This window comes from Homo sapiens, chromosome 2 (assembly GCF_000001405.40).
Source record: "Homo sapiens chromosome 2, GRCh38.p14 Primary Assembly".
NCBI lineage: Eukaryota > Metazoa > Chordata > Mammalia > Primates > Hominidae > Homo > Homo sapiens.
Window position 1 is genome coordinate 27,099,318 of NC_000002.12, and position 24,425 is coordinate 27,123,742.

The following is a 24,425-nucleotide window of genomic DNA, read 5'->3' on the forward strand; positions in this document are numbered from 1 at the left end:
GGTACAGGATGAGCCTGGACTCCAGGAGTCCGCCCTGGAGCTGGGAGGATGGCTGGGGGGACGGGGTGGGCTAACACCCAGCTGAGTGGAGCCGTCTTGCAGGGCTGTGCTTGTCTGTGCCTGGGCTGAGGAGGGCGCCGACGCCCTGGGCCCTGATGGCAAATTGCTCCACTCGGATGCTTTCCCGCCACCCCGCGTGGTGGATACACTGGGAGCTGGAGACACCTTCAATGCCTCCGTCATCTTCAGCCTCTCCCAGGGTGAGTATGGCAGCAGGAGGGGAAAAGGACTGGGACCTGTCCCTGCCCCAAACACCTGGCTGACCTAGCTACTTGCCCCTCCTCCAGGGAGGAGCGTGCAGGAAGCACTGAGATTCGGGTGCCAGGTGGCCGGCAAGAAGTGTGGCCTGCAGGGCTTTGATGGCATCGTGTGAGAGCAGGTGCCGGCTCCTCACACACCATGGAGACTACCATTGCGGCTGCATCGCCTTCTCCCCTCCATCCAGCCTGGCGTCCAGGTTGCCCTGTTCAGGGGACAGATGCAAGCTGTGGGGAGGACTCTGCCTGTGTCCTGTGTTCCCCACAGGGAGAGGCTCTGGGGGGATGGCTGGGGGATGCAGAGCCTCAGAGCAAATAAATCTTCCTCAGAGCCAGCTTCTCCTCTCAATGTCTGAACTGCTCTGGCTGGGCATTCCTGAGGCTCTGACTCTTCGATCCTCCCTCTTTGTGTCCATTCCCCAAATTAACCTCTCCGCCCAGGCCCAGAGGAGGGGCTGCCTGGGCTAGAGCAGCGAGAAGTGCCCTGGGCTTGCCACCAGCTCTGCCCTGGCTGGGGAGGACACTCGGTGCCCCACACCCAGTGAACCTGCCAAAGAAACCGTGAGAGCTCTTCGGGGCCCTGCGTTGTGCAGACTCTATTCCCACAGCTCAGAAGCTGGGAGTCCACACCGCTGAGCTGAACTGACAGGCCAGTGGGGGGCAGGGGTGCGCCTCCTCTGCCCTGCCCACCAGCCTGTGATTTGATGGGGTCTTCATTGTCCAGAAATACCTCCTCCCGCTGACTGCCCCAGAGCCTGAAAGTCTCACCCTTGGAGCCCACCTTGGAATTAAGGGCGTGCCTCAGCCACAAATGTGACCCAGGATACAGAGTGTTGCTGTCCTCAGGGAGGTCCGATCTGGAACACATATTGGAATTGGGGCCAACTCCAATATAGGGTGGGTAAGGCCTTATAATGTAAAGAGCATATAATGTAAAGGGCTTTAGAGTGAGACAGACCTGGATTAAAATCTGCCATTTAATTAGCTGCATATCACCTTAGGGTACAGCACTTAACGCAATCTGCCTCAATTTCTTCATCTGTCAAATGGAACCAATTCTGCTTGGCTACAGAATTATTGTGAGGATAAAATCATATATAAAATGCCCAGCATGATGCCTGATGTGTACAAGGCTCTCAAAAAGTTCTAGTGATGATTAATATTACTGGGGATGGGGTCACCTGCCCTGAGCTGCAGGAGAGCATGGGGTGTCTGAACACCAGGTGAGGGGGAACCGGTGAGGGTTTGGGGCCCAGGGATAGACTGAGCTTTCCTCACTGGGTCCTCTGCAGCCGGCCATGGCTAGCACCATGCGCTCTGCTGCCGGAGCACCGTGAGGCCCAGAAACACTGGGCAGGCGGCATCCCTGTCCTTTCGGTCCCCAACCCCGTTCCTCTGAGAGGGTCTGGGCAGGCTGGACGGGTAGAGAGGTGGCCGGGGGGATGAATTCATTCAGTTCTTTATTGGTAATCTGCCCCTTAACTTAGGGTCTCCCTGAGCTGCACAGAAAGACCTGATACCTACTGGGACCAGGCAGGGGGCACAGAGATGGTCCTTGTCCCAGCGTACATTTCCCCTGCCCACTTCAGGGCTTATGTTCTGGCACTGAGACTTCGTGGGGTACCTGTATCTTCAAGATCTAGATCTCATCATTCTCCACTTGAACAATGTGCACCTCAAAGTCATTTTGGGTGTTCTTAGACTCCAGTGTTTCCCCTGGAAGTTCCTTGGCCTCCTCTCCATTCTCCCTGGCCTCTGCCTGGCCCCCAGCTTCCCCTCTGGGCCCGGGGGCATCTCCTTCAGCCTCTGCCTGGCCCCCAGCTTCCCCTCTGGGCCCGGGGGCATCTCCTTCAGCCTCTGCCTGGCCCCCAGCTTCCCCTCTGGGCCCAGGGGCATCTCCTTTAGCCTCTGCCTGGCCCTCAGCTTCCCCTCTGGGCCCTGGAACATCTCCATCAGCCTCTGCCTGGCCCCCAGGCTCCTGGACAGGATCCAAAGACTCCCTTCTGGCCTCTACCTGGCCCTTTGCTTCTTCTCTGGGACCAGGGGCTTCCTGTGTTTCTTGTCTTAATGGGCTTTTAGCTAATAGGGACTGCCTTCCAACAGCTTGTGGCTCCTGAGGAGATGGAGCAAGGGGCTCTCCGGGCTCCACGTGCCTGAGGGCTACTCCCGGGAAGTTGATGAGCTCAGCAGGGGTCATGAGCCCATCCCCATTCAGGTCCTGGGTCTCGAGCACTTTGTCCACTATCAAGATCACCTGTGGAAGCAGAGTCACTGTGGGGTCTCCAGGGACAGAGATGTTCCCAGGAGTTCTGACCCTCCCTAACACACCCTTGCATCCCTGCCGTGCAAGCTCTGAGCCCTCCTTTTACAGAGGACTCACCAAAAGAGTTATGATGAGAAAGACCAAAGCCCCAAAGTGCTGGGTCTCCTTTATGCGGGGATCTCCATCCAGCAGAGCTTACCGGGTTGGTGGTAGGAGAGTTGGCAGCTCCAGGGGCCAGAGCAGCTGTCAACATGGACAGCAGCTCCAGGCCATCCAGCTGTCCACTCTGGTCATAGTCATGGAGGGCAAAGAGGTAGAGGAGAACTAAAGAGAAGAGAAGCTGGATTAGAAGAGGTGCCGGGGGAGGTGGAGAAGGCAGGAGTCAATGGGGCAGCCGAGGTCAGTCCCAGATCTGGCTGCCCAGAGCCTCCCGTCCCTGGCCCCATCAGCCCAGCCCCTCACCCTGCTCCCGGCTCAGATGCTCCAGTTGCACTTCTGTCCTTCCTAGTCCCTTTAGGTAGCTCTGCAGAAGTCTGTCAGAAAAGTGGAGAATCAGCCCGGGAGAGGTGAGTCTGCAGCCCTGGGCCTGGTCTTCTCCCTGAAAGCACCCCCGGCCCACCCTACTCACCCGAGCTGCTCCTGGCCTGGCTGGAAGGGGTTGGGCAGGAGCTGATGCTGCACTTCAGAGTCTGGCCTGGAGGAGGAAGGGGAGGACCAGCCTTGCAGAGAGCCTCCCTCAGGGCCCAGCCTGCCAACCTTCTGCCTCCAATCTCCTGGCAGTTTTCTCCCCAGACCCAAAGGGAGTTGCCCCCAAAATTCCAAAAACCCTGTAGTGGGGAGGCTCTTCTGGTCTCCTTGGAACCAAATCCTTAACTCCCTCAGACTCTGTTTTTGCAGCTGGCTACCTTAGACTTTAAATGAAAACCCAAATAAAACAACTGGTTAGGTAGAGGCCAGATGAGGCCACACCTAGTAGACACAAGTTAGAGATCCAAGAAAACAGCCCAGTGAGTGGCAGGACAACATGGGTCACAGACCCCTCTCCTTCCATGCTGGGAGCCAAGGGACAGGTCTCTGGCTGAGCCTGGTGGCACTGCCCAGTTTTATATAGACCCAGTTTGCTCCATGACATAAAATTGACCTATACTTTTTCCAGGACAGGGTGTATCTGTTGGTTCTGGGGTTTCAAGCTGCTCAGGATCTCGTTGTCAGTCTTTCAAGCTCCAAATGTGCTCCCACTTCTGGACTGGGTTAACTGTTTGCCCAAGTCAATCCAGACCTGTGATGCCAGAGAGCTGGCAGGAGTTGCAGCGACTTTTGTCACAGCTACCAGCCCCTGTGGCTGTTCCTGTGGCTGTTTCCCCTTCTACCCAGCATACCCATTGCACAGTATTTATAAATAAAACCTTCAGAAAGGTATTCAGATAACATAGAAATGACATGCTAATGATCTCTACTTCTTTGGTGTTGCCACCATAAGGTCTTTTTTTTTCTGAGATAGAGTCTCGCTCTGTCACCCAGGCTGAGTGCAGTGGCTTGATCTCGGCTCACTGCAACTTCCACCTCCCGGGTTCAAGCGATTCTCTTGCCTCAGCCTCCTGAGTAGCTGGGATTACAGGCATGCACCACCATGCCCGGCTAATTGTTTTTTATTTCTGTAGAGATGGGGTTTCACCATGTTGGCCAGGCTGGTCTCGAACTCCTGACCTCAGGTGATCTGTCCGCCTCGGCCTCCCAAAGTGCTGGGATTACAGGTGTGAGCCACCACACCCAGCCCACCTCAAGGTCTTGATAACAAAACTGCAGGCCAGGCACGGTGGCTCATGCCTGTAATCCCAGCACTTTGAGAGGCCGATGTGGGCGGATCACAAGGTCAAGAGTTCGAGACCAGCCTGGCCAACATGGTGAAACCCCACCTCTACTAAAAATACAAAAATTAGCCCAGCATGGTGGCGGGCGCCTGTAGTCCCAGCTACTCGGGAGGCTGAGGCAGAAGAATTGCTTGAACCCGGGAGGCGGAGCTCGCAGTGAGCTGAGATCATGCCACTGCACTCCAGCCTGGGCGACAGAGTAAGACTCTGTCTCAAGAACAAACAAACAAACAAACAATTGCAGCCCCCACTTCTCTGGCGCCACAGCTTCTTCCCTGTTCTTCACGATGCACTGGAGCTGAGTTCTCTGATTCCAAATGGGTCCAGCAAGCATGTACTGAATGCCCACTTTGTGGCACTCTGACAGGCACAAGATGGGAGGCTGATGGCAGGGAGATACAGAGATCGGGGAACCTACACCCCAGTCTCCTGCCTCCCAGAGGGCCCACCACACCCTTGGATTCTCTAGAGACTTTCCCTCCTCCCAGCCCTTGGCCCTGCCCTCATAACCCTGTTACCTTGTGACTCCATCCTTTGGGGCAGCCTGACCCGTGGGGAGCAGCAGCAGGATTAACACTGTCATCGTCAAAGGTAACATCCTTCCTGGAACTGGAACAAGGAAGAGAATCAGGGGTCGGGGGAAAGAGGCGTCTGCCACCGTGTCACAGATGGGCTGGGTTAGACACAAGCGCATTTTCTGCCTGCTTCTACCTGCAGCCCCAAAGACAGGACTCCTGCTCAGGGAGGACTCACAGACAGACAGCAGGGATCCCATGGAACTATGCTCAAAATAAATGTCACTCCAGCTCTTGTATATAAAGCACATAAAGGCAGGCCTGCTGTGGCGGAAGCAGAGCTGGGGGCGCATCCCCACCCCACGCCCCATTCCCTTGCTCCCCACTAGGTGCCAAGGTGCCCAGAGAAGTACAGCGCAAGCATATCTGACCTCCTTCAGCCCATTCATCTTACAGATGGAAAGGAGCGCAGAAAGTTTAAGAAAAAGGCCAGGTAAGAAACGCAGGGAGTCACAAAAAGACCAAGACTTAAACACAGGCAAAAAGAGAAATGGACTGTTTGTGTTTATTAAAAACCCACTGAAGAACAAATCAAAAGAGGCGCAGACTTCTTGAAATAGGTCTAAACTCAAGTACAAACTGCAAACACAATAAATCAGGGTCAGACCAACAGTGGCCCCAGGAATTGCTATTTGCTAAATGCAGTTAGGAAAATTAGACCCACTATAAAGGAAAAAACAAAAACTTCCCCTAAGACTGACATGGCTTAGGCCCATTGGCAAAATCAACCACTTGAGTATATGAAAACAGTCAAGGATAGAATGGACCAATCAAACAGAGCCTAAAGCTTTCTGGTGAGTCCCAGGGTATGTACAGGTAGTGTGAGTTCCTGAGGAAGCAGAAGCCCACCAAAGCCAAGGCATGAGACCCCAAGCCCATCTCTAGAAAGAAAAACCGTCAGATGCTTGATGGTCTAGCAGAGATCAGGAACATCCCCATCTGGCTGACACTGGGTTTTCCTAGAGGAAGGTTCATAGCTTTCAGCAGATTCTCCAAGCAACCCATGACCCTAATAAGGTTCAGAACCACTGCCAGGATGGACTTCCATTTCCTAAGAGATGAGGGGTAGAGCAGGTAAGCACCTGGCTAATGGGAAGATAAACAAAATTCTGCCTTTTAAAGCTACCTTAAGGGAAAACTAGCTAAACATGGAAGTCCACAAGAAGATGAAGCTACCTAGAGTCACAGAACCTGTCATTTTTCTTTTTTTTCTTTTTTTTTGAGAAGGAGTCCTGCTCTGTCACCCAAGCTGGAGTGCAGTGGCATGATCTCAGCTCACTGCAACCTCCACCTCCCTGGTTCAAGTGATTCTCCTGCCTCAGCCTCCCGAGTAGCTGGGATTACAGGCAACTGCCGCCACACCTGGCTAATTTTTGTATTTTTAGTAGAGACGGGGTTTCACCATGTTGGTCAGGCTGGTCTTGAACACCTGACCTCAGGTGATCTGCCCGCCTGGGCCTCCCAAAGTGCTGGGATTACAGGCGTGAGGCACTGCACTTGGCCCGTCTTCATTTTTCTATGCATACAACTGGCCCAACAGATAAAGTGAGTATACATAATTTGTTGGTGTCTATAAGCCCCAGTAGCCAAAAATAGATGCTGAAGCCACAGCTGCCCTAAAGGTATTCACCAACATCAGCTGGCAACATAAATCCTAGGGTTTTAGTCGTTGCACCTGGAAGAGAAGACAAGGTCCTGGGCCCGTTCAAGGTAGGCCATTGGAACTGAGATCTCTGTATCAACATGAAACCGTCAAAGGGTCACAGCCCAGAAAAAGGATGGACTAGAAAAACATTCAGACTTCCACTTCTGGGAGTGTAATAGTAAATGTCCCAATGAAAGTAACCACAAAGCTGGATAAAAATAGAAAGTATCTTTTCAAAAGCACTGGGTTGGCAAGAAATCCTCAACAGTACAAATGTGCAGTGAAAACAGTAATCTGGGGGAAAGTGAGCTTGACATTAGCTTTTGCCTTAGGAGTATCTGCCAAACCAAACCCAGGTGAACTTGAGCTGCCTGTCAGTGTGCTTGTGCTGTAAAGGAGACCAGAGATGATACCTGGGCCCACCTGATATGAAGAGACTAACAGGAGATTCCCTACGTAAAGCTGGGATTCCAAACAGCTACACTCTGAACATGAACAAAAAGTAAATTTGTCATGAAGAAGGGCAGCAAAGAATTTTGCCTTTCTTGATTTTGGTGCTGTGTAGAAGGGAGAAAAAAAACTCTCCCTGAGACTCTATAACAAGCCTGATCTAATGTGGATTTTTTGTTTTTGTTTTTTCTGGGATGGAGTCTCTCTCACTCTGTCGCCCAGGCTGGAGTTGCTGTGGCATGATATCAGCTCACTGCAACCTCCACCTCCCGGGCTCAAGCGATTCTCCTGCCTCAGCCTCCTGAGTATCTGGGACTACAGGCATGTGCCACCATGCCCAGCTAATTTTTTGTATTTTTACTAGAGACAGAGTTTCGCTGTGTTGGCCAAGCTGGTCTCGAACTCCTGATCTCAGGTGATCCTCCCGCCTCAGCCTCCCAAACTGCTGGGATTACAGGCATGAACCACTGCGCCTGCCCTCTAATGTGGGTTTGAAGCCTGAATTATTAATGCTACCTGTATGGTCAGAACATCTAAAGTAGGTAATGTATTTTGAAGTGCAACCTGGTTGATGGCACCCCCAGATGACTGGCAGAGGAAAACACACATCTCTGGAGCAACTCTAATCCAGGCCTCAAAGAATTTCCATAGGTAAAGTTTCCAGGAATATGAACTCATAGCCAAAACGTTATAAACATACAAAGAAATAAGACACTGAGTAAGAGCCAGCAAAACAATAGCAGGGAAAAGTAGACTTGGAAAAGCTGTGTTGGAATTGTTACACACAGAATATACAGCAGATACAGTTCACATTTTTTTTGTTTTGTTTTGTTTGAGAGAGGGTCTCGCTCTGTTGCCCAGGCTGGAGTGCCGTGGTGCAATCTCAGCTCACTGCAATCTCTGCCTCCCGAGTTCCAGCAATTCCCCTGCCTCACCCTCCTAAGTAGCTGGGATTACAGGCATGTGCCACCACGCCCTGCTAATTTTTGTATTTTTAGTAGAGATGGGGTTTCACCATGTTGATCAGGCTGGTCTCAAACTCCTGACCTCATGATCTGCCCACCTTGGCCTCCCAAAGTGCTGGGATTACAGGCATGAGTCACCGCACCCGGCCAGTTCACATGTTTTAAGAAATTAAAGGGAAGCTTGAAACTATGAGGAAGAAATAAGAGTTTTCCGGCCAGCAACAGTATGTTTTAAAAAAAAAAAAAAGAGGCCGGGTGTGGTGGCTCATGCCTGTAGTCCCCGCACTTTAGGAGGCTGAGGCTGGTGGATCACGAGGTCAGGTGATTGAGACCATCCTGGCCAACATGGTGAAACCCCGTCTCTACTAAAAATACAAAAAATTAGCCAGGCGTGGTGGTGGGCACCTGTAATCCCAGCTACTCGGGAGGCTGAGGCAGAAGAATCACTTGAACCTGGGAGGCAGAGGTTGCAGTGAGCTGAGATCATGCCACTGCACTCCAGCCTGGGCCACAGAGCGAGACTCTGTCTCAAAAAAAAAAAAAAAAAGAAAGAAAGAAAGAAATAAGAGCATAAAAATGACCAAGTAGATTTGAAGAGGAAACAAACATAACTTTTAGAAATAAAAGATTGATTTTAAAAATGCAATGGGTGACCAGCCTGGCCAACATGGTGAAACCCCGTCTCTACTAAAAATACACAAGTTAGCTGGGCTTGGTGGCACACGCCTGTAATCCCAGCTACTCGGGAGGCTGAGGCAGGAGAATCGCTTGAACCCAGGAGGCGGAGGTTGCAGTGAGCCAAGATCACCCCACTGCGCTCCAGCCTGAGCGACAGAGTGAGACTGTCTTAAAAAAATAAATAAAATAAAAAATAAAAATAAAAATGCAACGGGTGAGTTAAATTGATTAGACACAACTGATATGAGAGTTAATGAACTGGAAAATAGATCTGAATAAATTATCCAGAGTGCAGTTCATTGAGTCAAAGACATAGAAAATATAAAACAGAGGTTAAGTGGCAAGGTGGATGGAGAAGATAAGAGATACAACTGGAAAAAAGCAGTATTTGAAGAAATAATAGCTGACATTTTTCCAGTAGGTTGCAAAACACTGGAATATGCCAATCCAGGAAGCCCAACAATTCAATGCAGATTAAATAAACAGAAATTCTCACCTAGACCTATTTTTCTAAAATAGAACACTCAAGAAAAAAAAAATTGTAAAAGCAGTCAGAAAGAAAAGACAAATCATCTCATAGGAAAAGTAATTAGACTGATAGCTGATTTCTTGACATCAATGATGCCCAAATACAGTAATATAGTATTTTAATGTGTTCAGAGAGGGGAGAAAATTGATATTCTAGAATTCTATTCTCAGCAAAATTATCTTGCAGAATGAGGTGAAGCAAATTTATTTATTTATTTATTTAGAGACAGGGTCTCACTCTGTTGCCCAGGCTGGAACTCCTGGCATGATCATAGCAATTCTCCCACTCCTGCCTCACAAGTAGCTGGGACGACATGAATGTGCCACCATGCCCAGCTTTTTTTTTTTGGTAGAGACAGGGTCTCAACTTTGTTGCCCAGGCTGGTCTTGGGTGCAAGCAATCCTCCTACCTTGTAAAAACAATTTTAGGCAAATAACTTAGAGAATTTGCCACTAACATTCCTTCATTAAAGGAAATTCAGCTGGATATGAGTTCGTGCCTGTAATCCCAGCACTTTGGGAAGCTGAGGTGGAAGGATCTCCTGAGCCCAGGAGTTCAAGACCAGCCTGGGCAATATAGTGAGACTCCATTTCTACAAAAAATAGGAAAAAATTAGCCGGGCATGGTGGGGTGTGCCTGTAGTCCCAGCTACTCAGGAAGCTGAGGTGGTAGGATCGCTTGAGCCCAAGAGGTGAAGGAGGCAGTGAGCTCTGATCACACCACTGTAATCTAGCCTGGGCAACAGAGCAAGACCCTGTCTTAAAAAAAAAAAAAAAGGGTTTGAAATGCAAGAAAACATGTGGAGCAAAGAAATCACAAAGTATGTGGCTAAATCTAAACAGACATAGACTGTTAAACAATGCTAATTATGTTAATATATGAGGCAAAAAAGCTGGTCTGAACTACAATATTGGACAATGACATGTAAAGCAAAGATGGCTGTTTGGGAAGAGAGTGGACATATTGATGAACTTTGTTAAATATGCATGTTAAGGCTGGGCGCGGTGGCTCACGCCTGTAATCCCAGCACTCTGGGAGGCCGAGGTGGGCGGATCACCTGAGGTTGGGAGTTCAAGATCTGCCTGACCAACATGGAGAAACCCTGTCTCTACTAAAAATACAAAATTAGCTGGGCAAGGTGGTGCATGCCTGTAATCCCAGCTACTTGGGTGGCTGAGGCAGGATAATCGCTTGAACCTGGGAGGCGGAGGTTGTGGTGAGCCGAGATCACACCATTGCACTCCAGCCTGGGCAACAAGAGGAAGACTCCGTCTCAAAAAAAAAAAAAAAAAAAAAAAAAAGCATGTTAAAATTTTAAGGATAACCATTAAAAAATTAGAACTGGAATGTATAGCCTCAAACCAGTAGAAAAAAATTAATGGAATTTTAAAAACTGAACTAAAAGAAAGGCAGAAAAAGAAGAAATAAAAGCAGGAAAAGATGAAAAAGAAGAAATAAAAAGTAAAGGCTGGGTGTGTGGCTAATGCCTGTAATTCCAGCACTTTGGGAGGCCGAGGTGGGAGGATCACTTGAGCCCAGGAGTTTGAGACCAGCCTGGGCAACATAGTCTCTGTTTGAGCCCAGGAGTTTGAGACCAGCCTGGGCAACACCCTGTCTCTACAGAAAATAATTTTTAAAAAAATTAGCTGGGTGTGGTGACATACATCTGTAGATCCAGCTACTAGGGAGGCTGAGGTGGGAAGAACATTTGAACGTGGGACATTGAGGCAGTAGTAAGCTGCAATTATACCACTACACTCCAGCCTCGGTGACAGTCAGACTATCTCCAAAAAAATACACACACACACACACACAAACCCAAAAATAACAAAAACAGCACTAATAAAAGAGACTACACTTAAAGAAATTAAAATAAATGAAATAATAGCAGAAATTAAAAACACAATAAAGAGAAGCAACAGAGCCAAACAAGGGTGGTTTCTTTAAAAAGACTAGTAAAATAAAAAATATATATATACAAAGAAACAAAAGCCTAGTAAAACAGACAAACCTTTGGCAATTTCAATTAGGAACAAAGAGAGCCAGGTGTTGTGGTTCACACCTGTAATCCCAGTGTGTCCGGAATTGGTGGGTTCTTGGTCTCACTGACTTCAAGAATGAAGCCGCGGACCCTCGCGGTTGAGTGTTACAGTTCCTAAAGGCGGCGTGTCTGGAGTTTGTTCCTTCTGATGTTCGGATGCGTTCGAAGTTTCTTCCTTCTGGTGGGTTTGTGGTCTCGCTGGCTCAGGAATGCAGCTGCGGACCTTCGCAGTGAGTGTTACAGCTCTTAAGGTAGTGCGTCTGGAGTTGTTCGTTTCTCCCAGTGGGTTCGTGATCTCGCTGGCTTCAGGAGTAAAGCTGTAGACCTTCGTGGTGAGTGTTACAGCTCATAAAGGCAGTGTGAACCCAAAGAGTGAGCAGCAGCAAGATTTATTGCAAAGAGCGAAAGAACAAAGCTTCCACACTATGGAAAACGACCTGAACAGATTGCCACTACTGGCTCTGGCAGCCTGCTTTTATTCTCTTATCCGGCCCCCACCCACATCCTGCTGATTGGTCCATTTTACAGAGAGCGGAGTGGTCTGTTTTGACAGGGTGCTGATTGGTGCGTTTACAATCCCTGAGCTAGACACAAAGGTTCTCCACGTCCCCACTAGGTTAGCTAGATACAGAGTGTCAATTGGTGCATTCCCAAACCCAGAGCTAGACACAGGGTGCTGATTGGTGTGTTTACAAACCTTGAGCTAGATACAGAGTGCCAACTGGCGTATTTACAATCCCTTAGCTAGACATAAAGGTTCTCCAAGTCCCCACCAGACTCAAGAGCTCAGCTGGCTTCACCCAGTGGATCCTGCACCGGGGCCGCAGGTGGAGCTGCCTGTCAGTCCCACACCCTGCGCCCGCACTCCTCAGCCCTTGGGTGGTCGATGGGACAGGGCGCCGTGGAGCAGGGGGTGGCGCTCGTTGGGAGGCTTGGGCCGTGCAGGAGCCCACGGCAGTGGGGAGGCTCAGGCATGGCGGGCTGCAGGTCTCGAGCCCTGCCCCGCGGGGAGGCAGCTGAGGCCCGGCGAGAAGTAGAGCACAGCAGCTGCTGGCCCAGGTGCTAAGCCCCTCACTGCCCGGGGCCGGCGGGGCCGGCCGGCAGCTCCGAGTGCTGGGCCCCCGAGCCCACGCCCACCCGGAACTCGCGCTGGCCGGCAAGCGCCGCGCGCAGCCCCGGTTCGCGCTCGCGCCTCTCCCTACACACCTCCCTGCAAGCTGAAGGAGCCGGCTCCGGCCTTGGCCAGTACAGAAAGGGGCTCCCACAGTGCAACGGTGGGCTGAAGGGCTCCTCAAGCGCGGCCAGAGTGGGCGCCAAGGCCGAGGAGGCGCCGAGAACGAGCGAGGGCACACACTGTCACCTCTCACCAGCACTTTGGGAGGCTGAGGCAGAAGGATTGCTTGAGCCCAGAAGTTGGAGGCCAGCTTGGGCAACATAGTGAGACCCCCATCTCTACAAAAAATTAATTTTAAAAAATTAGCTGGGTGTGGTGGTGCACGCCTGTAGTCCTAGCTACTTGGGAAGCTGAGGTGAAGGATGACTTGAGCCCAGGAGGTTGAGACTGCAGTGAGCTGTGATTGTGCTGCTGTACTCCAGCCTGGGTGACAGAGTGAGACCCCATTTCAGAAAAAAATAAACCAAAGACTAAAAGAACAAATAGAAAAGGCACAAACAATATTAAGAAGGAAAATAGGGACATAACTAAAGAAACAGCAGAGATTTGAAAACTTAGAGGATATGGCCAATTTCCTAGAAAAACTTAATAGCAAAACTGATGCAAAAAGAAATAAGCTTTGATAGTCTTACAATCACTAAGGAAACTGAATCAGTGAGTATTAACCTTTACTGCTTCTGGAACTATAAACCTGAAATGTTTTTAGAGAGCAGTCTGGAAATGTGTATTAATTTCCTAAAACTCTGACCCAACAATATCGTCTTGGGGATTACATAAAAGAATATAAATGGAAAAGAAATTACAAAGATATGTATAGCTGTGCTATTAATATTAGTCAAACAAATGTAAGCAACCTGAATGTCTAACATTTAGGCAATGGCTGAACAAACCATATTATGTGATAGAACCATTAAATATAATACATCAACTCAGAAAGTTTAAAAGGAAAAAATGAGCAGATTTGAGTATATCAAAAGTTTAAACTTCTGTGTCATGAAATATACCACAAATCACGTTCGAGGAGACAAGTGACAGAGAACTGAAGGAATTGCCGCTAGTGTGTGGAGGCTTCCCGGGTCCCCAGAAGGGTGGGGTTCCACCACCTGGGCCTCAGCAGGAAGTAGAAGACAGAAATCTCCCTAGAAACCCTATGGGTACTGAATGGGGTCCAGGAGCCGCAGAGATGAGTGCCTTGTTTCCAGGAAGGTTAGAGAGAAGGCCCTGCCTACAGGGTGCCTGGGAGGTCAGGAAGCAGCAGCTGAAGGAGGGTCTGGGTGAATGGGCAGAGAGAGGGCTGCCTCTCCCAGTTCTTTGTATCTAGAGTGCTGCTGGTTTGAAGAAGGGGGCTGAGGTCAGCTGAGGGTTCCAGTCTCTAAGGTGGAAGGAGGGGTGCCTAATGGCTGAGAGAGCCAGTTGACCAGGAGAATGCCAGAAGTTCTGGCTCCCTGGCCTGGGTGCCACAGAGAATACCATGGAAAGCACCAACAGCTGCCACATGACAAAGACCAGAGGGCAAGCATCCGTAGGGAAGGCAAGTTAGATATAAGTTTGTACAATAAGGATAAATATTCATTTCTTTAATATTTATTGAACACCTGCCATATGTGAGGCACTCTCTTATCACTAAGCTGATCTCTTAAGGTCGAATTACTTTTTCTTTTTCCCCCTAAAGCTTGCAAATATGTAAGTAGGAAAAGATACAAATGTTAACGCAAGAAAAACACAGAATTGCTATGGAATAGGTGGTACGGCCCAAAGTTGGGGGGTATGGGCCCTGACCTCAGGCTGCCTGTGTTCAAATCTGGGCTCCGCAGCCCACTAGCTGTGCGGCTTTTCTGTGCTTCAGGTTCTCCATCTGTAATGCGGGGCTGACGAGAGCACCTCTGGCAGGGCTGTGGTGAGGGTTTAATTAATGAGACAAGATGTGTAAAGTGCAGTGCCTGATCTACAATAAGGCCTTTTTCCTTCCAAGAGTTCATCTGCACGGCCCCACAGTGGCTTCACACACCCCCTTCCCACCTGGCTCCTCTCAAATTGCTTTCTCCACCCTATCTGTTTACTGCTAGGACCCAGGCCGACAGGAGGCACTGGAGTCATTTAAATCCCTCAGAGCTGTCAAAACTCATCATCCAGCCTTCACGTGTTCTTACATACTAGCAGGTGCCTTTTTTTTTTTTTTTTTTTTTTTGAGACAGAGTCTCGCTCTGTCACCAGGCTGGAGTGCAGTGGCGTGATCTCGGCTCACTGCAACCTCCGTCTCCCAGGTTCAACCAATTCTCCTGCCTCAGCCTCCCAAGTAGCTGGGACTACAGGTGCACGCCACCACACCCAGCTAATTTTTGTATTTTTAGTAGAGACGGGGTTTCACCATGTTGGCCAGGATGGTCTCGATCTCTTGACCTCGTGATCCGCCTGCCTCAGCCTCCCAAAGTGCTGGGATTATAGGTGTGAGCCACCACACCCGGCCCTCAGATGCCTTTTAAAGGAGGATGTCTGTGAACTCCAAAGGATGACTCTGGGGGGAGCCGTTCAGGCATAAAGGGGAAGCACCCCTCAGATCCACTCATCCTCTCACTCATTAGGCCACTGTGGTAGCTTTAAAAACCTGTCTACACATTCTTTGACATTCCTTCCCACAAAACTTGGAGTCTAACTCGCCTCCCCTTGTATATGATCTGGACTTAGTGACTGGCTTCTAATGAGTTGCTGAAATGGTGCTTACATGACTTCCAAGTCCAAGTAATAAAAGTGACCTAGCTTATGCCTGGTTCTGGTTCTCCCCTTCACTTGACACACAGATGTGCACCTCTGGAACCTTGAGCCACCATGGAAGGAGCCTGGTCTCCCCGAAACCACCCTACGGAAGAGAGAGTGTGGAGAACCCACCTAGAAACAGATGCCTGAGAAGCCTCCAGCTCAAATCTTCCCAGCCCAACAACCAGACAGGGGAGAGAGCCAAGCTCCGGATAATTCTAACCCCCAGCCTCTGAGCTGCCCCAGCCAACACTGAATGCAGTAGAAATGTGCTTGTCTCCACAGCCTGCACTCATGTGCAAAGTCAACATCAACGTTATCTTTTTGTGTGTGTGTGTGTGTGACAGGGTCTCACATGTTGCCCAGGCTGATTGGAAACCCCCAGGCTCAAGCAATCCTCCTGCCTCGGCTTTCCAAAGTGCTGGGATTATAGGCATGAGCTACCATGCTGGGCCCATTATCCTTTTAAGCCATTACATTTTGAGGTGGTTTGTTACACTGCCATAGTAATTGGAAAACCAACCATGTAAGGGCTGGCTTCATGGGTGTGCGTCCTGTGAAGTCACAAGTTCCCCGCTCTCAGAGGGGCCCTGTGCTTAGGCTAATGCTCTGTTGTCACTATCTTGAAACTCTCAATCATTTTTGCACCGAGCCCTGCAAATTATGCACCTGGTCCTGAGTCCTACCCCGTGAATGACTATCACTCTCCTCTTCTTGGTCCTATGTACCCCTCATATATTTAACTCTTCAGTATGTTTAATGGACAGAAAACAGAGCTTTGGAAACAGCCAGACCTACTTTTAAACCCAAGCTCCACCACTGAGTGTCCCTGTGACCTTGGGTAAATTAATTTTTCTCACTAAACTTCAGTTACCTTATCCACATACTGGAGATAATATTTACCTCACAGGGTTACAGTGAACATTAAATGAATAATGAATTACTTCTGGCACAAACTAATATACAAGCCTTTTAGTGTTATCCCTGTCTCTGGTATTTTCTCCACTTAAAGAACCCTCCACACCCACATCAGATAAATCATCCTTTGCTAGAATTCCACTGCTCTAGAACCTTCAGTGGCTCCCTATTTCGATTACAGTCCAGAATCTTCACCTGGGCATTCAAGGCCTTCTACAATCAGATATCAAGTTACTGTTGACTCATCTTCCAGTGCTGTATTATGATAGCACACTGCTTCAAACCAAGGAGTTATTGGAGTCTCCTAAAATACTTTCCACTTTCACTTTTCAGTGCTTTTGCCCAACCTGTTCCATCCTCAATCTGGAATGTCCTGGGCCCTCCTGACAACCTTAGCATTCGGTTATAGCCCACCTCAAAAATGCAAGTGATTGGGCTGAGTACAATGGCTCACGCCTGTAATCCCAGTACTTCGCAGGCCAAGGCAAAAGGATTGCTTGAAGCCAGGAGTTCGAGACCAGCCTGGGCAGCAAAATGAGACCCCCCCCATCTCTAAAAAAAACAAACAAAAATTGTTTTTAATTAGACAGCATGGTGGCTCAAATCTATGGTCCCAGCTACTTGAGAGGCTGATGCAGGAGGATCACTTCAGCCCAGGAGTTGAAGGCTGCAGTGAGCTATAATTACACCACTGCACTCCAGCCTGGATGACAGCAAGATGCCACCAAAAAAAAAAAAAAAAACAAAGGCCGGGCATGGTGGCTTACACCTGTAATCCCAGCACTTTAGGAGGCCAAGGTGGAAGGATCACCTGAGGTCAGGAGTTTGAGACCAGCCTGGCCAACATGGTGAAACCCCATCTCTACTAAAAATATAAAAATTAGCCAGGCACAGTGGCACGTGCCTGTAATCCCAGCTACTTCGGAGGCTGAGACACGAGAATTGCTTGAACCCAGGAGGCAGAGGTTGCAATGAGCCAAGATTGTGCCATTGCACTCCAGCTGGGGTCACAGAGCAAGACTGTCTCAAAAAAAGAGAGAGAAAAAAAAAAGTAAATGATGTGGACTTTCAGTATAATTTTTTTTTTTTTGAGATAGAGTCTCACTCTGCTGCCCAGGCTGGAGTGCAATGGCGCGATCTCAGCTCACCACAACCTCCACCTCCCGAGTTCAAGCGATTCTCCTGCCTCAGCCTCCCGAGTAGCTGGGATTACAGGCATGTGCCACCATGACCTGCTAATTTTGTATTTTTAGTAGAGATGGGGTTTCGGCATCTTGGCCAGGCTGGTCTTGAACTCCTGACCTCAGGTGATCTGCCCACCTTGGCCTCCCAAAGTGCTGGGATTACAGGGATGAGCCACCAGGCCAGGCCTATTCTCTCTCTCTCTCTCTCTCTCTCTCTCTCTCTCTCTCTCTCTCTCTCTCTCTTTTTTTGAGACAGAGTCTCGCTCTGTCACCCAGGCTGGAGTGCAGTGGCGCAAAATCTACTCACCATAGTCTCCACTTCCCAGGCTCAAGCGATTCTCCTGCCTCAGCCTCCCAAGTAGCTGGGATTACAGGTGTGCACCACTACACCTGGCTAATTTTTGTATTTTTAGTAGAGACGGGGTTTCACCACGTTGGACAGGCTGTTCTCGAACCCCTGATCAAGTGATCTACCCACCTTGGCCTCCCAAAGTGCTGGGATTACAGGCATGAGCCACTGCACCTGGCCAATATTCTAAGTAATGCTTCCAACTGTGACATTTTAGTGCAAGTAACCCACCTCAGTGGTTTAAGGAAAGGCTAAGACACCTCATGTAATGTGTAATGAGGTTAGTGCGATGTGTTGACACTTAGACATTTCTAAACATTAACAAAAGCTTTTGTGAGAGAAATAAAATAGTTATTGAACCACTGCCTGTCCAATAAAAATGTCCCTAACCATTTTCTATAACTATAATGTGCATGAACATAATTACCCTAATAAACACATGAAAGCCACCATAACTGTTAACAGTTGCCATGTAATTTAATAAAGTTATGTCACACACGTGCACTCACACATTCACAATGACCCTCCGGCCCCAGTGTTCTTCAAGCCTTTGCACCAGTGCATGGGAGGAGAGCACGCTCTACAGGTTAGACTTCTGATCAAATCCTGCCTCTGATACTACTCACTGTGGGACCTAGGCAGGTGTCTTAACCTCTCTGAGCCCTGGGATCTGAATTTTTTTTTTTTTTTTTTTTTGAGGCGGAGTCTCGCTCTGTCGCCCAGGCTGGAGTGCAATGGCACGATCTCGGCTCACAGCAAGCTCCGCCTCCCGGGTTCACGCCATTCTCCATTCTCCTGCCTCAGCCTCCCGAGTATCTGGGACTACAGGCGCCTGCCACCACGCCTGGCTAAATTTTTTTTGTATTTTTAGCAGAGACGGGGTTTCACCGTGTTAACCAGGATGGTATCGATTTCCTGACTTCGTGTTCCGCCCGTCTCGGCCTCCCAAAGTGCTGGGATTACAGGCGTGAGCCACTGCTCCTGGTCGGGATCTGCATTTTAAAAATGAGGATAACGGTATCTGTCTCCTAAAGGTTTGGGGAGGCTGCAATGAGAAAACTTAGGGTAGGTGCCTGGCACCAAGCAGGTGCTGCTTGGGTATTTCAGAGCCTCTGGGCTGTGGCAGGGGCCTTGCAGGGTTATCCTGGGTAACTTCCCATCCAAAGCAAAAATTTCTTCCTCAGCAACCCTGTCAAATGGCCTCTGCTTGAATCATTCCAGGACAGGAACCTAGCACCTCACAGGCCGGCAGTTCCATCTCCTGTAGAGTCGAACTGTTGGGAAGCTAAAATTTTGAGTAGAATCCTCTCCCTTAATTCTTAATTTATCCCTCTGGTGCCCTTGTGCCTCCCAGCACCCATCCCCCAAGAAAGGAGACAGCGGCTACAGGGCTAGAGGAGCCCACACCCGGGAGCTGGTCCCTCGGCCACCTGCAAGCGGACGACAGCCTCGGGCCCTCCCCAGCGCTCCATTTCTTCCCCGTCGGATGAGGGGGAAAGCTCCCGCCAGCTGCCCCTCCCCCAGGACTGCTGGAACACGGAATGCGGGGCTGGGGGAAGCGCCTGGGGAACTGCGAAGCCCCAAATTCACACCAAGGAGCCTCAGGCTCGCTCTCCAGTCCCTTCCTCCACCTGCCCTCAGGGTACACAGGGGCAAGGGCCACTGCTCCCGCCGCGTCTGAGCCGCAGGGGATGCAGAGGGACTGCGCTCTCGGGATCTGGACCAGAGGCTGGAGGCCACCTACCCCGCGCGGCCCTGGCTGGCTGACGGCGATGGGCTCGGGTCTCCGGCCGGCCGGGGCGGGGTGTCACCCACCTGCTGCGGCGCCGCGCGGCTCTGGGGGTCCAGCTCCGTGGGCGCTCCTGGCTGCTGCGCCGCCCGCGCCTCGCCTCCCGCCGCCAGCCTCCCCCGGGCCGCTCCACGTGGCCGCTCCACGTCGCCCTCCCGGCTGGAGCCGCCGCCCTGGCCGGGCAGAGTCCGGAGCCAGTGCCAGCCGCCGCCCCGCCCGCCGGACCTGGCCCTTCGCAGCTCCACCAGCGCCCCCGCTGCGCCCGCGGCCGGAGGGGCTGCGCGCGCCCGTGTGAGTGTGCGCGTGTGTGCGTGCGTGAGTGCGCATGTGCGCGTGTGCGAGTCCGCGTGTGCTCGTGAGTGCGCTCGTGTGCTTGTGCGGGTGTGCACATGCGTGTGACATTGTGAGCGTGAGTGTGAGCATGTGTAAGGATGCACGTGTGTGAGCGTGCATGTGTGCGCGGATGTGTGCGTGTGCCTGTATGCACACATGTGAGTACAGAGAGACCAAGAGACAGTGAGGCCAGTGTGCATCAGAAGTATGTTTAACTGTGCTCATGCTTTGGTTGCCACTTTCTCTGCCTGAGGGACCCAGATGTATGTGACAAAATGGAACCTAACTTACTGTTAGCATGTGCGGTTGTGACTGGCATGTGTGGCTCTGTGTATGAGGAATTTGTGACACGGTAGGGGGTATTTTGTGTGACTGTGCATCCGTGTGATAGTGTGGGCTTCAGGGGCCGGGCGTGGTGGCTCACACCTGTAATCCCACCACTTTGGGAGGCCAAGGCGGGTGGATCACGAGGTCAGGAGATGGAGACCATCCTGGTTAACACAGTGAAACCCCGTCTCTACTGAAAATACAAAAACATTAGCCGGGCATGGTGACGGGCGCCTGTAGTGTCAGCTACTCGGGAGGCTGAGGCAGGAGGATGGCATGAACCTGGGTGGTGGAGCTTGCAGTGAGCCGAGATCACGCCACTGCACTCCAGCCTGGGTGACAAAGCAAGACTGAGACTCCGTCTCAATAAATAAATAAATAAATAAAAAATAAATGATAGTGTGGGCTTCAGGGTATGGCCAATGTGTGACTGACTGCCCAGGGGTGTGGCGGTGCAGAGTGTTAGAGGCATATGTATTGGGGTGTCAGGGTGAACTCTTCCTGAGTTGTTTGTGACACTCCATCACAGCGACACTGTCATCACAGCGACAAGCCCACTCTCATCCTGTCCTCCTCCCAGTGATGAACACTGCTTGTCACTGCCTTTTTAGATCACGGATTCTGCTGGTTTCGGCAATACCTCTCCTACCTCTGGTCATTTCAAAAAGGTCTCCATTTTCTTCACCGTCAGAGTTCCTCAGGGCCCTCTCCTCACTTTCCATCTGCTCATGTGCTCATCTGCTCACCTAGCTCCCATCACTGTTATGCATTGACTCGTGTCCTTCACAAAGTTATATGTTGAAGTCTTAACCTCCAATACCTCAGACTGTGACCTTATTTGGAAATAGGGTCATTGCAGATGTAATCCATTAAGATGAGGTCATACTGGAGTAGGGTGGGCCCCTAATCAATATGACTGGTGTTCATATCAAAAGAGGAAATGTGGACACAGACACACACATAGGAAGAACATTGCTATGGCCTGAATATCCCACCAAATTCATGTGCTGAAACTTAGTCCCCATTGTGGTGATATTAAGAGGAGGAAGCCAGGCACAGTGGCTCACACCTGTAATCCCAGCACTTTGGGAGGCCGAAGTGTGAGGATCTCTTGAGGCCAGGAGTTTTCGACCAGTCTGGGCAACATAGTGAGACCGTGTCTCTACAATAAATAAATAAATAAAAATTAGGCATGGTGGTGCACGCCTGTAGTCCCAGCTATTTGGGAGGCTGAGGCAGGCAGATCCCTTGAGTCCAGGAATTTGAGGTTACAGTGAGCTGTGATCCTGCCACTGCACTCCAACCTTGGTGACAGAGCGACATCCTGCCTCTGAAAAAAACCAAAAAGGAGTAGGGCCTTTTGGGACATGATGAAACCATGAGGGCTCTCCCCTCATGAAGGGATTAATGACCTTATGAAAGAGGTTTCTGAGAGAGTTCACCCCTCTTGCTCTCTTGCCTTTCTGTCCCTTCCATCACATGAGGAAACCCAGACGCACCATCTCTGAGGAATGGACCTTCACAGACACCGAACCTGCCAGTGCCTGGATCTTGGACTTCCCAGTCTCCAGAACTGTGAGGAATAAATTTCTGTTGTTTGTAAATTACTCAGTCTGTGGGATTTTGTTATAGCAGCACAAACTCACTAAGATGTTTGTGAAGATGAAGACAGAGATCAGGGTGATGCTTCTACCAGTCAGGGAGTGCCAAAGATTTCCAGCAAAATGCCAGAAGCCAGGGGAGAGGCATGGAATAGATTATTCCTCACGGTTCCCAGAATGAACCCACCCTACTGATATTTCAGTCTTGACTTCTAGTCTCCAGAAGTGTGAGACAATAAATCTCTGTTGTTTAAGACAGTCCCCAACCTTTTTGGCACCAGGGACCAGTTTCAGAGAAGACAATCTTTTTTTTTTTTTCTTTTTTTTTTCTTTTTTTGTATTTTTTTAGTAGGGACGAGGTTTCACCATGTTGGCCAGCCTGGTCTCGAACTCCTGACCTCAGGTGATCCGCCTGCCTTGAACTCTCAAAGCATTGGGCGTTACAGGCGTGAGCCACGTGCCCAGCCTCAGAGAAGACAATCTTTCCACAGATCAGAAGGGTTGGGGGTGAGGGTGATGGTTTTGGGATGAAACTTCCACCTCAGATCAACAGGCATTAGATTCTAATAAGGAGCACGCAACCTAGATCCTTCTTGTGTGCAGTTCACATAGGGTTTGCGCTCCTATGAGAATCTAATTCCACTGCTGATCTCAGGCAGTAATGCTTGCTCATCCTGCTCACCTTCTGCTATGCCACCTGGTTCCTACCAGGTCATGGACCAGTACCAATTTGCAGCCCAGGGGGTTGGGGACCCCTGGTTTAAGACACCCAGTTTGTAGTGCTTTCTTACAGCAAACTGCCAACTAATACACCACCTAAATGCTGATGATTGCCAATTCTCCACCTCCAATCTCTAAGCCCCAGGCCACTTCAGGCATTGAATATCCTACTAATTTGTGCCTGAGTTTTAATTTATAAAGGTGGCTGAGTGAGGACATGAAGAGGTCACTGCTATTGAAAGAAAAGCTTAATGTTATTTGCAGTTCCCCTAGAAACAAAAGGCACGGTCACAGGGGGAAGTGCCAGTGTCACTCAGGAGGCAGAAAGAAGCGAAGGGAAGGTACAGGCCTTTATTGGGGTTTACTTCTCCCAGTAAGGCAGGAGAAGCAGTTTGGGACTGGCTAGTTTGAATAATTCCAGAGTGCTCTGGGGCACAGGGACAGGTCCTGGTTACCTGGTCCTGGGTTGATTTAGGGCAGGGGAGATACTGGCTTGGAATGTGAAAGTTAGAGAAAGGAAGTGCTCAGAGTGTGAGCTCTGGATTGTAGGGGAGATGTAAACAACCTTGGCCATTAGGTTGGCCCTGTGATTTATGGATGCCAAATAGACAAATACAGAACCTAAGGAAACACAGTTAAAACACCTACCAGCACCCCAACTTCTACATGTCTGTGTCTAAATGCATCATCTTCCTCTTCAAACCTTCCTCTCCTCTGTTTCCCTGTCCCAGGGATGGACACTTTATATCTGTGCAGTCAGAAACCTGGAGGTCATCCATGTTCCTCCTTCTTCCCCTGCCTCCAATCTACTACCAGGTCCTATCAATTCTGCCACTGATCTTGAAGATCTTCACTCCTCTCCTGGGTATCCTCCAGTCCGGGCATCTTTTGAGCCTGGCGTTCTGTTAGCAGCCTCCCAGTGGCCTCTCTGCTTCTACTTTCCTCCTCCTCCAATCTATTCTCCAAGCAACTGAATGATTCTCCTAAAACATAACTCATGTCACCCTTCCCTTCTTAAAACCCCTGGATGGCTTTCCTCTGACCCTAGGATAAACTGCAGCAATTATGTGGTCCTTGACCACCCACATGCTCCAGCCACACCAACTTTCTTTGTTCCCTTAAGACATCCTTCACCTCCAGGCTTTTGCCTTTGCTGCCCCCTCTGCTAGAACACCCTCGCGTGAAGTCCGGGCACCTCCGCAGTGCTCCCATGGCAGCTGGTACTTCTCTTGTGTGGACCATGTTAAGCCCTGATGACTTGTGGACCTCCTAGAAGCTTTACGGTGTATTGATACCTAGGCTCCTCTCCAGACTAACTGTATCGGGGGTAGGGCCTGGGCACTGGTAGTTTTAAAAATCCTAGATGATTCCGATCTGCAGTCAAGGTTGAAAGCCACTACTCTTAGTAGACGACCTCCTATATTTCAATGAAGACACGGACAGTAACATGGGGGGTCTGTATCAAGTGCCTGGTACAGGGCGGGTGGTGAGCAAATTATCTACTGTACGAGGACTGTGTGGCAGGGACTGTATGAGACAATGCAGAGTGACACTGCAGGAAGGTGCATGTGTTGCAATGCCACCACTGAGCAGCTGAAAGCTTTGTGACAGTGTGGGGTGTCACAGTCGGACAGTGACTGGTGAGGGTCACTGTGAATGGCTGTAGTGTGTGACAGAGCAGAATGTCACTGCAGGAGTAGCTGTGTCCTGTGCGTGACTGACTGCGAGCGCCTAAGGGACTCTGGCCAGGCTGCTGGACTCGGGGCGTCGCCGGGGAAGAGTTTAAGGGAGCTGGAGATGCCCCGCACCAAGATGGCAGCTGGGGGAGGCCGCTTGTCTCGGGCTGCACAGCCAAGAACCGCGGAGGGGAAGAAGGCAGGGGAGGGCGGGAGGCCATTCGCAGGTCACTCGGGTTAGATCCGCGCGAGGCACTAGGCGACCA

At 50.2% G+C, this 24,425-nt stretch overlaps 2 protein-coding genes and 1 long non-coding RNA gene across 12 annotated transcripts in view, besides 6 other annotated features; 2 read left to right on the top strand and 1 right to left on the bottom strand.

Annotated features, from left to right (window-relative positions):
* Nucleotides 1-566: part of an enhancer, noted in NCBI's record as "H3K27ac-H3K4me1 hESC enhancer chr2:27321908-27322751 (GRCh37/hg19 assembly coordinates)", that runs on past the window's edge. NCBI's record gives its function as "activates a minimal SCP1, AML or CMV promoter by ChIP-STARR-seq in naive H9 embryonic stem cells {active_cell/tissue: H9 hESC(naive)}" and the evidence as "EXISTENCE:reporter gene assay evidence [ECO:0000049][PMID:30033119]".
* KHK (ketohexokinase) overlaps nt 1-1,445 on the top strand; it is a 13,991-nt gene extending 12,546 nt beyond the window's left edge. For all 7 annotated transcript variants that reach the window (XM_005264294.5, XM_005264296.5, XM_017004060.3 and 4 more), the window contains 2 exons: nt 103-260; nt 348-1,445. In XM_005264294.5, the coding sequence (XP_005264351.1) occupies nt 103-260; nt 348-433 (244 nt within the window). In that variant the 3' untranslated portion in view covers nt 434-1,445. The remainder of the gene's footprint in view (nt 1-102; nt 261-347) is intronic.
* On the bottom strand, nt 36-19,811 carry CGREF1 (cell growth regulator with EF-hand domain 1). Of its 4 annotated transcripts, none has more exons than NM_001301324.2 (6): nt 19,529-19,811; nt 4,970-5,060; nt 3,209-3,274; nt 2,698-2,904; nt 1,099-1,225; nt 36-523 (listed from the first exon to the last, which is right to left on the bottom strand). In NM_001301324.2, the coding sequence occupies exons 2-5, from the start codon at nt 4,980-4,982 to the stop codon at nt 1,119-1,121; spliced, it is 393 nt and encodes a 130-aa protein (NP_001288253.1). In that variant the 5' UTR covers nt 4,983-5,060; nt 19,529-19,811; the 3' UTR covers nt 36-523; nt 1,099-1,118. The 4 variants fall into 4 exon arrangements, with proteins under 4 accessions (NP_001288253.1, NP_001159712.1, NP_006560.3 ...); NM_001166240.2 differs by lacking the exon at nt 1,099-1,225 and adding an exon at nt 3,043-3,113 and having other exon boundaries at nt 2,780-2,904; NM_006569.6 differs by lacking the exons at nt 36-523; nt 1,099-1,225 and adding exons at nt 1,277-2,571; nt 3,043-3,113 and having other exon boundaries at nt 2,780-2,904.
* Nucleotides 2,172-2,672: an enhancer, noted in NCBI's record as "H3K4me1 hESC enhancer chr2:27324357-27324857 (GRCh37/hg19 assembly coordinates)". NCBI's record gives its function as "activates a minimal SCP1, AML or CMV promoter by ChIP-STARR-seq in primed H9 embryonic stem cells {active_cell/tissue: H9 hESC(primed)}" and the evidence as "EXISTENCE:reporter gene assay evidence [ECO:0000049][PMID:30033119]".
* Nucleotides 2,286-2,465: a silencer, noted in NCBI's record as "fragment chr2:27324471-27324650 (GRCh37/hg19 assembly coordinates)". NCBI's record gives its function as "represses an EF-1alpha promoter that drives an FKBP-Casp9 reporter gene in an ReSE screen in K562 erythroleukemia cells {active_cell/tissue: K562}" and the evidence as "EXISTENCE:reporter gene assay evidence [ECO:0000049][PMID:32094911]".
* Nucleotides 5,060-18,168, top strand: LOC124907744 (uncharacterized). The gene is made up of 2 exons (XR_007086252.1): nt 5,060-5,459; nt 15,307-18,168. It is a non-coding gene; the product is annotated as an uncharacterized LOC124907744 (long non-coding RNA).
* Nucleotides 18,743-19,243: an enhancer, noted in NCBI's record as "H3K4me1 hESC enhancer chr2:27340928-27341428 (GRCh37/hg19 assembly coordinates)". NCBI's record gives its function as "activates a minimal SCP1, AML or CMV promoter by ChIP-STARR-seq in naive H9 embryonic stem cells {active_cell/tissue: H9 hESC(naive)}" and the evidence as "EXISTENCE:reporter gene assay evidence [ECO:0000049][PMID:30033119]".
* Nucleotides 19,244-19,744: an enhancer, noted in NCBI's record as "H3K4me1 hESC enhancer chr2:27341429-27341929 (GRCh37/hg19 assembly coordinates)". NCBI's record gives its function as "activates a minimal SCP1, AML or CMV promoter by ChIP-STARR-seq in naive and primed H9 embryonic stem cells {active_cell/tissue: H9 hESC(naive and primed)}" and the evidence as "EXISTENCE:reporter gene assay evidence [ECO:0000049][PMID:30033119]".
* Nucleotides 24,343-24,422: a silencer, noted in NCBI's record as "silent region_11285". NCBI's record gives its function as "represses an Ori minimal core promoter by ATAC-STARR-seq in GM12878 lymphoblastoid cells {active_cell/tissue: GM12878}" and the evidence as "EXISTENCE:reporter gene assay evidence [ECO:0000049][PMID:35858748]".

Coding starts and splice junctions, on each gene's coding strand:
- CGREF1 (NM_006569.6), bottom strand. CDS start 5,049: ATGTTACCTTTGACGATGACAGTGTTAATCCTGCTGCTGCTCCCCACG. Junction 3,114..3,208: donor CCAGGCCAGGAGCAGCTCGG/GTGAGTAGGGTG, acceptor CTTTTCTGACAG/ACTTCTGCAGAGCTACCTAA. Junction 2,572..2,779: donor ACTCTCCTACCACCAACCCG/GTAAGCTCTGCT, acceptor CTGCTTCCACAG/GTGATCTTGATAGTGGACAA.